Source organism: Homo sapiens, chromosome 1, assembly GCF_000001405.40.
Source record: "Homo sapiens chromosome 1, GRCh38.p14 Primary Assembly".
Classification (NCBI taxonomy): domain Eukaryota; kingdom Metazoa; phylum Chordata; class Mammalia; order Primates; family Hominidae; genus Homo; species Homo sapiens.
Genome location: NC_000001.11, coordinates 106,192,874 through 106,204,314, shown reverse-complemented (window position 1 = coordinate 106,204,314; position 11,441 = coordinate 106,192,874).

Genomic DNA, 11,441 nt, shown 5'->3' with positions numbered 1-11,441 from the left:
ATTCCTCTCCCATCTAGAGATAACCACTCTCTTGATTTGGCATTTATCATTCTTATGCATATTTTTATTTATTTACTATCTAATTTTGTGTACATATGTCATATATGACTACTTGTCATTTTTTAAAAGTGAATATAGATAACATAATCCTGAACATATTCTGTCATTTTTTTCTCAATGTTATGTTTCAGGAAGTCTTGATAAAGCTTATTTACACACATCATTCACTTTACCCACCTAAGATTATCCCATTCTGCTTCTATTTATTTATCCCTTCTATTTATGGATAACTTAAATTGTTTCTAATATTCAGCAATTATAATCTATTAAGCAATTAACATACTTGTATGGGTATTCTTGCATCCAAATAGCAGAGGTTCTCTAAGATATGCAACTGGTAATGAATTGCTGACCCATAGAATGTAAACCTCTTAAAATCTTCTAAATATTGATAAATTGCTCTTCAAAGATATTGAAGATATTTATTCCACCTCAACACTATATGAGAGTCCCTGTAGTTTTATACACTTATCAATATTGATACTGAAGATTTGTTAGTGTTTCTACATTCTAAAGGGTATGGAAAGGTATCCATATTGTATAAACCATTAGTGTCCTCTCCTCTTTGGTCTTAGCATATTGTGCTATTGAATGTATTGTCTTTTTGTTATTGACTTATAGCAGTTTTTAGTATGTTCTAGATACTGTCTGCTGTTAATTTTAGTTGCATGTATTTTCTTTCCATCATTAGCGTGACTTTCCACTTTTATTTAATTGTAAAGATATTAATTTGAGTGTATTCACATCTCACATTCATTCCAGGTTCAAGTAACTGGTAGCAACATGAAACATTGCTGAGAACATACTCCAAGAATACGTGTCAATTTTACGGATTCATTTATTTCACATATCAGGTGTAAGTTAAGTATTTTATGAATATTATTGTATTAAATCTGACAAAGTTTTTTGAAGACAGATGTGAGAAATTGAGGTACAGAGTTATTTCCCCAAGGTCACACAGGTAAGTGACAGAGACAAGATTCCAACCCAGGCATATATATAGAATCCCTGTTCTTACTTAACATAATGTGTGTTCACCCTCCTTGCTTTAGATTTCCAAACAGTAAGAATTTCTCTAATCCTTACTTTAGTACCTTGCTTTAGTACCAACCAGAGTCACTTTTTTTGGATTTATGATAAATATCAGTTGAGATATTATTATTTTCCAAAGATTAAGAATTATTAATAGAAAATTAAGAATAAGCATTTTATAAAGAGCAAGACGGTGTAGTTAATGTTTATAGGTATGTGGATTTAGGTTGTGGTTAAAGTAGAAATGAAAACTTCACTTTGTGCAAAACTAGTGCACTTAGTTGAATGCAGAAAGCTGATTGCATTTAGAATGTAGTGAGCTGAGAGAGACTGTTGTTCATGCAGAGAAGTATGTCGAGGAAATTAGGAAATCAGCTACTTTATATAGAATGTATTCCATATATTTATTTGTTTGTGAATTCTTATTATTTTAAATGGCATATACAGCTTTGAGGGCTCTAGAGTTTATTATTATTAGTTTCACATTTAAATAACCATTGAGAAGAAGAACCAATATAACATATACCTAATTTAGTGTGGCCTAGTTCAATGGCATCATCCTCAGAGTCAACTTTATTGTACTTATATATATCAAAGACACATTCACTGTGGCAGACCTTGTTGGTGGCTAGCCAGATCCTCTTAATTAACGCTGCTATCCAGGAAAGGCCCACAGGGCCTCCAGTTAGCCTCTGGGACTCCAGGGCGGAAATCTTTCTCTCAGCATTTATGTACAGGCCAGCCTGAGAATTTTGAAGGGTTAACACTCTCAGAAGTAGTCCACATGCAAATGGAAATTGGAGCTCAAATGCCCCAGCTCCCTTGCCCTTTCAGATGGAAATTGAAACAATGTTCAGGCATGTTCTACTCTGCCTAAGTTCCCACAGGACTAGCCATAGTTTTCCAGAACACTATTGTATTCAATATCATGCTTTTCTTCTTCTTCCTCTTCTTTTTACCCTTCTTCTTCTCTCTTTCCAACTCTCCCTTCTTGTGTTCCTTGAAATTCCTTCCCAAATAAGCAACTTCCTCTCAGATCCTTTTCTCAGAGTCTGCTTCTAGGAAGACCCAAACTGAGACACATACCAACATTCTGATCACAATTTAATGAAAATACTTCCAGTAATTACATCCTATCTCATTACTTGTATTTTCTCGTAATTGTTACTCTACAGTTTATTTCTAACATTCAAATTTTCACTCCAAGTACCAAGGCTGGCTACATAACTTGTGAGGCCCAGTGCAAAATGAATGTGCAGAGGCCCTTGTTTAAAAAGCAAGAAAAAAGTGTCTCTAAAGATACTAAAATATAAAACTTTTTCATTTCTTCTAGCCATCTCTCTCACAACCTGTCAATATGTTTTGTTTGTTTGTTTGTTTCTTGCAATTTAATATAGCAGAATGCAGACCTTCAATGGTGCCCAAGACCCCTGCCCTACCACTTTGTACACTCTAGGTTACAGCCCACTGGCTGCTGGATTCCTGTTCTTATCATCCATTGCTGCACTGTGCCCTGGCCAGGTATGGAGAATCTCTCTTTCCCATGGGCTGGCTGTCTCAACCCACAGTGGATGCATAATTTCCAGTGGATTACAACCATGGTACCAGTCCACACTGGATACCTGATTCGGGGTGGGCTAAACGCTCACCCCCACCAAGTTATCTATAGAATGCCTTGGTGCTACAGGCCCTGGGAAGGGATGGCTGACAACATACTTTGCTCAGAAATGGCATGTGGTGTGTGCACCCAACCATGATTCCCAAACCAGTGCCTAGTCCCCTGCCAGGGGTGGAGAGCAGCACCAATGGATGAATGAACACAGGGAGGGGGATGCCTGCCAGGGCCAGGAACATCAGGGGGAAAGGGATAGGAAGTGTCACTGGGAGGACAGTGGGGAGGAGGAGGCAAGGAGGAACCTGGATAAGGTAGGTGGCTACAAACATTCCTGGTGAGGTGTGGAGGTGGCAGCAGGAAAGGATTCATGTCATTTGATGCACCAAGGTTTTGGCACATTTTCTATTGTCCCATTGGACTCTACTCACAAACACACATTCAAATATTAAATCATTAATAATTTCAAGATGGAGACCAAAAAGTATTAAATGTCAAGTGCCAGATCAGACCCTTCTGAGCAAAAGGACCTGCAATAAGCTGCATTAGTCCTGTATTTCTGAAGCCAGCATGGCAGAGCAAAAGTGCTTGACCTCATTCTCTCTACAAATTCTATTTCCAGCTTCTCAGTTATCACATTGATCACATTTGCCCTTGCAAAACTCTTCTGTTGAAGCTTTTATTATTTATTTATTTATTTATTTATTTATTTATTTATTTATTTTTGAGACAGAATCTCAGTCTGTCATCAAGTCGGGAGTGCAGTAGTGCAATCTCAGCTCACTGCAACCTTCGTCTCCCGGCTCAGGCAATCCTCACACCTCAGCCTCCAAAGTAGTTGGAACCACAGGCATGCACCACCATGTTCAGCTCACTTATGTATATATATATAAACCCTGGCAGACAGGGTTTCATCCTGTTACCGAGGCTGGCCTCAAACACTTGGCTAAAGTGATCTGTCCCTCCAGGCCTGCCAAAGTTTTCGGATTACAGGCATGAACCACTGTGCCAGGCCTGTTGATGCTTTTATATTTCCCACTTCCCAATTACTTTCAAAGAAGGATAGACATGCTATTTTTGTTTACATTACCTGCTTCTACATCACTATTATATCATTTTCCTCTTTCCAAGTATTAATACATAGACTTTCCTTCCAATACTATGTTCCTAGTCTACCAATTATTATCTACCAACTTAACAAGGGTATTCTTCTGTTGCGTAAATGTATGTGGTCACCTAATTTATTATTTCTTTTTTCAAATATCTGATATTATTCCTGGTGCCTTTAGTCTGTCTACTGACATCACAGTAGTCATAAATTTATTTGTCAACAATATTTCTAACAAACACCTTCTTCAGTTAATAGCCAGGCTCCTAATGTCAACCACGAGAACAATGCTTTCACCATTATCCCCATTCTGTTTAAGATCCTGAGCTCGTCACTATTATATGGGGTACACCAGATGTGATGATGGCCCTCTACTCAACAATCAACATCAAGCGCACAGCATATGAGCCATCACTGGTTACACATATAGGATCAGGAAAGTACGGTTATTTCTGAAAGACAGTAGTCAGTGTGGCTGGAAATCTAGGGATGATTTTAGAAACTGGAATTTGACCTGAGTTTTTAATAAAGTTTCTCTACTGCCACAAACACTCCAGGAGACCCCATTATTCACAATGCATAATTCTCCTTTTCATTTTACTAAACTGCTCCTGTTTGTTGGAGACAAACAAGAAAATGTGCTGACTGGCTTTACTACAAATTAATGCTATCTAATGTCATCTGCATTTTCATTAATTGTTGGCAATACTTCTGCCTATTTGTAAATGATTCCTTATGTCATTCTCAGTTTTTTTCCCCAATTTTTCCTGCTTGCATTTCAAAGCTTTCATGTCTCATTTTGCTTGGATGACTGCATGTCATTTTTTAAGAATCACCTCATTTATTAGCCCGACTGAAATCTCCCATGACATTCACATGCTAGTTATTAACATCAGCCACAAGTCTGGGTTGGCTGTTTCCTACATGACCTCCAGTCACTTACTATATATGCCTTTATTATAATGATCAATAAGTTTTTGTCAAATATACCAATTTCCTTCACCGAGTTATCTTCATTCTGACTGTAGAAAAAAATAATTTTGCTTCTAACTTTACTGAGAAAAATGCGAGATGCCTGAAACTGGCCTAGCTTTGCCCTGAAAGTCATAATCTTTAGTACCTTTAGATGTCTTTTGTGTCTTCTATTCCTAAGATTAATCATTCTATAGTCTCTTACTATTTGTGATAAGTACTTAGCCTCTTGTATAAAACATCAAATTAAGTTGGTTATCATAGATGATAAACTAAAATATAATCTATGAGAAAGAGAACTGAGGTACTTTACAGCTATTCAAAGAAAATTGACTTTAAATGAATTAATAGTGTTTTAAAAATATTTAACAATGTATCTTTGATGCATAGATTTTAGCACATATGTGCATCTTCTATGGTACAGTACCTAATCTTAATGGTTCATTTTTTATCACAGTTTTTCTTACCAGAAATTCTTTATTAATGTATGCCATGAGAATAGTTACTGAAATATTATAACTAAAAGTATTCTCCTTGTACGATATCTAAATGGGATATTATTTAAAACCCCTTTGTTAAAACTTGCTTTTATTCATATGTCTTACTTTTGGGAAATATACATAGACAGGGTATATAAAACTGTCTGGATTATCAAAGTGTAGTGTAAACATGTTCTTTTTTTCCTGTTTTATCTTTCTATATTCCCTGAAGTAAAATGCTAGAGGTGATAAAATGAAGTGAGAAGAAAAGAAACTTGGTAATAATAGAAATTCAGGAGATATAACAAAATTCTCACTTTTCCACCTTCATGTTCTAGCACTTTTAGCCTGAACTGTTAATTGTACTTACAGCTTAACATCTGAGTGCCAGCAAGAAAAAAAAAAGTAATATATTGCATTGAAAACAATTATCATTGTATTTATAGAGTAAGCAGGACTTTCATTTTAAAGCTTTTCCCAGTTTTTGTAAATGAAAATAAACGCAAATATTTACATATCTCGGTTTGCCCACCTAGTAGTCTGAGTAATATTTGAAAGCAATTTAAACATTTTCCTCTAAGTGGTAGTAGAAAAAGATGAGTAATGTACATGTCTCTCTTCTGAAATTAATTACGTGCAAACTAGACAGAATTTTTTTCTACTATAGATTAATAACTTTTCAATCTTTGAAATGATGTACAGAGAGCTTAAAAATTTATTTGAATAAGAAACAAAGTTCTTCAAAAAATAGCTTCAATTTTGTCAATTACTACCTAACCTTTTTATTCTCATCAAAAGAATTAAGCATCTTGTTCAATCTATCTTCTTCATATTTGGCTTCCCTTATCTAGTTAGAAGGCAGCAATTCAGATCATTGGTACCCTGCTTTTCTTTCTCTACCAGAAAGATAGAAGCAAGTTTGGATTATTCAAAACTACAGACTCACAAAATGTCAAAATCAAGACCCTTCCAGACCAGGGTGGCTGACCAAAGTGATTTTAGGAGACTGGGAAGGAAAATTAAGGGCAGTACTGCAAATTACATAATGGAGCCTAGAATTTAAGCACACACATTTTCATATTTAGCACCTCTCTGAAAGAGAATTTTTATAATAGTACTGATTTATATTTAGATCTGTATCATCCTTGGTTGCCTTGTCTGGTTCCAATCCTCTGAGGATACTCTATAAATAATAGTGACACAAAAGCCTCAACATCTTTTGCAGAGGTAAATGTTCTTTGTATACAAAGATTCTGCAGCAACTGGCTCATTCTTACTAGAACTTTCACTGTACCTATTTTAAGTGTGTCCTTATCTTGTGACTTTTTAAATAAGAAGCAGAAAAAATTAGGGATAAACTTTTTTTATACATTTGTATAAATTCAAGAGGTGCAACTGTAATTTTGTTACATGTCTATATTGTGGAGTGATGACGTCTGGGCTTTAGTGTATCTATTACCAGTATAATGTACTTTGCACTCTTTGAGTCATTTCTCATTTCTCACCCTTCTTCCATTTCCATCCCTTCCAAATCTCCAATGTCTATCATTCAACATTTTATGTCCATTTGTACATACTATTTAGCTTTCACTTGTAAGTGAGGACATGTATTTGACTTTTTGAGTTGTTTCACTTAAGATATTGGCCTCCAATTTCATCCATGTTGTTGCAAAGATAGAATTTCAGTCTTTTTATTGCTGAATTGTATCCCATTGCACATATATTTTCTTTACTCAATCATTAGTTGATAGATGCTTAGAATTGATTCCCTATCTTTGTTATTGTGAATCATGCTACAATAAACATACAAGTGCAGGTATCATTTTGATATAACAATTTCTTATTCTTTGGGTAGATACCTAGCAATGGGATTGCAGGTTCGAATGATTTCTATAAACATAAAATAAATGATGCTTGCTGATTCTCCTTTGAATGCCTGGCACATAGTAGGTGCTCAATAAATATTTTTTGAATGAACAAGCAGGGCAGTTGTGTTCCAATCAAGAATGGTTTTCTTGTTTTTTTTTCTTTTTAATTTCATTGGTACTTAGTAGTTGTATATATTTATGGGGTATATGAGATGTTTTGGCATAGGCATGTAATCTAAAATAATCACATCATGGAGAATGAAGTCTCCATCTCCTCAAGCATTTATCCTTTGAGTTACAAATAATCCAATTAGACTATTTGAGTAATTTGAAAATGTGCAATTAAGTTATAATTGACTATAGTCACCTTGTTGTGCTATCAAATTACAGGTCTTATTCAATCTTTCTATTTTTTTGTACACATTAACTGTCTCCACCTCCCCACTATGATCCCCTACTGTTCTTCCCACCCGCTGGTAACCATCCTTTTACTCTCTATGAATATGAGGTTCAATTGTTTTGATTTTTAGATTCTACAAATAAGTGAGAACATGGTATGTTTATCTTTCTGTGTCTGGTTTATTTCACTTAATATAACAGCCTGTGGTTCCATCCATGTTGTTGCAAATGGCTGGATCTTATTTTTTTATGGCTGAGTAATACTTTATTGTGTGTATGTACCACATTTTCTTCATCCATTCATCTGTTGATGGACACTTAAGTTGCTTCCGAATTTTAGCTATTGTAAACAGTGATGCAAAAAACATAGGCATGCAGATAGGCGATATACTGATTTCCTTTCTTTTGGGTATATAGCCAGCAGTAGGATTTCTGGATCATATGGTAGCTCAATTTTTAGTTTTTTGAGAAAACTCCAAAGTGTTCTCTATGGTGGTTGTATTAATTTACACCCCCACCAACAATGTGCAAGCATTCCTTCTTCTCTAGATCCTTGCTGGCATTTGTTATTGCCTTGCATCCAAAAGACAGGAACGTTATATAATGGTAAAAGGCCTTGTCCAACAGGAAAATATCACAATCCTGAACATATATGCAACTAACCCAGGAGCTCCCAAATTTATAAAACAATTACTAATAGACCTAAGAAATGAGATAGACAGAAACACAATAATAGTGTGGAAATTCAATACTCCACTGATAGCACTAGACAGGTCATCATGACAGAAAGTCAACAAAGAAACAATTGATTTAAACTATAACTTGGAACAAACAGACTTAACAGATATATACAGAACATTTCATCCAACAACCACAGAATACACATTCTATTCAACAGTGCATGAAACTTTCTCCAGGATAGACCATGTGATAGGCCATAAAATGAGCCTCAATAAATTTAAGAAAATTGAAATTATATCAAGCCCTCTCTCAGACCACAGTGGAATAAAATTGGAAATAACTCTAAAAGGAAACTTCAAAACCATGCAAATATATGGAAATTAAATAACCTGCTCCTGAATGAGCATTGGGTCAAAAATGAAATCAAGATGGAAATTAAAGAATTCTTGGAACTGAACAACAATGACTTCTATTTTTGTTGCACTATGGTCCAAGACTGTGTTTGGTATGATTTTCATTCTTTTGCATTTGCTGAAGATTGTTTGTGTTGAATTATGCGGTCAATTTTAGAGTATGTGCCATGTGGCAATGAGAAGAATGTATATTTTATTGTTTTTGGGTGGAGAATTCTACAGAGGTCTATCAGATCCATTCCATCCAATGTTGAGATCAGGTCCTGAATATCTTTGTTAATTTTCTGCCTCAATGATCTATGTAATACTGTCAGTGGAGTGTTGAAGTGTCCCCTATTATTGTATGGGGGTCCTTGTCTTTTTGTAGGTATCTAAGAACTTGCTTTATGAATCTGATTGCTTGCGTGTTGGATGCATATATATTTCGAATAGTTAGGTCTTTTGCTTGAATTGAACCCTTTATTATTATGGAATGCCCTTCTTTTTGTTTTTTAACCTTTGTTGGTTTGCAATCTGTTTTTGTCTGAAATTAGGATTGCAACCCCTGTTTTTTTTTCTCTTTTTTATTCGCTTGGTAGATTTTACTCCATCTCTTAATTTTGAGCCTATGGGTGTCATTTTATGTGACATGGGTTTCTTGAAGACAGCATACCATTTGGTCTTGCTTTGTTTTTCTAGCTTGCCACTCTGTGCCTTATATGTGGGGCATTTAGCTCATTTGCATTCAAAGTTAATATTAATATGTAGGAATCTGATCCTGTCATTGTGCTGTTAGCTGGTTATTATGTTGGCTTCCTTGTTTGGTTGCCTTATAATGACATAGGTCTCTGTGTTACAGTGTTTTGTTTTGTTTTTTTTAATTAGCTGACAGCAGTCTTTGCTTTCTACATTTAGTGCTTCTTTCAAGATATCTTGTAAGGCAGGTCTAGTGGTAACAAACTCCCTCAACGTTTGTATATCTGAATAAGATCTTATTTATTCTTTGCTTACAAAAATTTGGTTTGGCTGGATATGAAATTCTTGGTTGAAGATTTTTTCTTTTAGAATATAGGCCCCCAATCCCTTCTGGCTTGTAGGGTTTCAGCTGAGAGGTCCACTGATAGACAGATGGGGTTCCCTTTTTAGGTGACCTGCCTTTCTCTCTAGATGACTTTAACATTCTTTCTTTCATTTTGGCCATGGAAAATCTGACAATTAAGTGTCTCAGGGGTGCTCTCCTTCTGTAGAATCTTGCAGGAGTTCTCTGCATTTCCTGAATTTGACTGGTGCCCTCTCTGGCAAGTTTGGGAAGTTTTTCTTGGTAATATCCCAAAATATGATTTCCAAGTTTTTTGCTTTCTTCTCCTCCCTTTCAGGGATGCCTATGATTTACAGATTTGGCCTCTTTACATAATAATTCCATACTTCTCAGAGGTTTTGTGGATTCCTTTTTATTTTTGTCTGGCTGTCTTATTTCAGTGACCTAGTATTCAAGTCCAGAGATTTTTCCTTCAGTTTGGTTTATTTTTCTCTTAATACTTGTGATTGCATTGTGAAATTCTTGTATTTTGTTATTCAGCTCTGTCAGATCTGATACATTCTTTTTGTCACTGGCAATTTTGTCCCTCAGCTCCTGTATCACTGTATTGTGATTCTTATTTTCCTTGGACTGGGTTTTGCCATCCTCCTGAATCTTGACAGTTTTCATTTCTATCCATATTCTGAATTCTATTTCTGACATTCTAGCCAGCTCATTCTGGTTGAGAACTCTTGTTTGGAGAACTGGTGTGGTTATTTGAAGGACATAGGTCACTGTAGCCATTTGATTTATTGGAGTTCTTGTGTTGGTTCTTTCTCATTTCTGTGTGTGGTTGTTCCTTTAACTGCAGTGTAGATTGAGTACAGTCAATAGACTTTTTTTCTGGATATTTTCACTGGTCTTTAAGCTGAGTTCTTGTCTGGTTTCAGAGGGGGATATTTTGGGTGTTACACCTTTGGGATGGCACATTCAGTAGGTGGCACTTGGGTGACTGGTCAGTTGGTAGACTCAGTTGTGTGGCTCTCCTATGCTTCCTCACAGTCGCAGCTGTGTTCCTTCTCAATGCTCTGAAAATGTGGGTTTCTCTCTCCCTTGAATAATGCCTGTAGATTGTGGCTTGGCACTCCTGGGCTGCCAACTGCAGCTCTGGGACAATCTCAGTGTTTCTGTTCCTTCTTGGAGGCAGCAGAGGAAAGGACCTTAGTAGTGGTTGTGGCCAAGGATCTTTTGCTTGTCTCCTGGGGGCTGCACACCAGAGGCATGTGATCATTGCCAGATGGAGGGTCTGTACTGTGGACCCAAGCCAGGGTTCACTGTCTAGTGATGAGCGGTGGAGGGTGTTTGGAATCTGTGGGGGACAGACTGGCCTCGTCTTCTTGGGTCAACTGCAGTTTGTTGGAGGTGTGGATAAAACACTTAGAATCTTTGCTTTTTCATTAGTCTGAGGGTAGGAGGGAAGTTCCACTGTACAGGCAGTGGCAGAGAGGATTTCAATTGCCCCTGGTGGCTCTGTACTGGGAGTTGCTGAGGTGCTCCTGGCTTGATAGCTCTGGCAGGGCGTTGCTGGAACACAGTAATGATAACCCATCCAGGGAGCAGATATGGAAACAGGTACCCACATAGCAGTCAGGCTACTTTTCCATAGGGCTGCTGTGGTATGCTTGGGGCCTGCTCCAGTATCTTGTCACCTTGGCTTTTCCAGTACCTGGAGGTCTGACTAGTGAAGGCTGAGAAACTGCAAAGAAGGCAACCTGCCCCTCCCTTTTGAAGCTCTGTCCCAGGAAGCTACGGACCCGTTG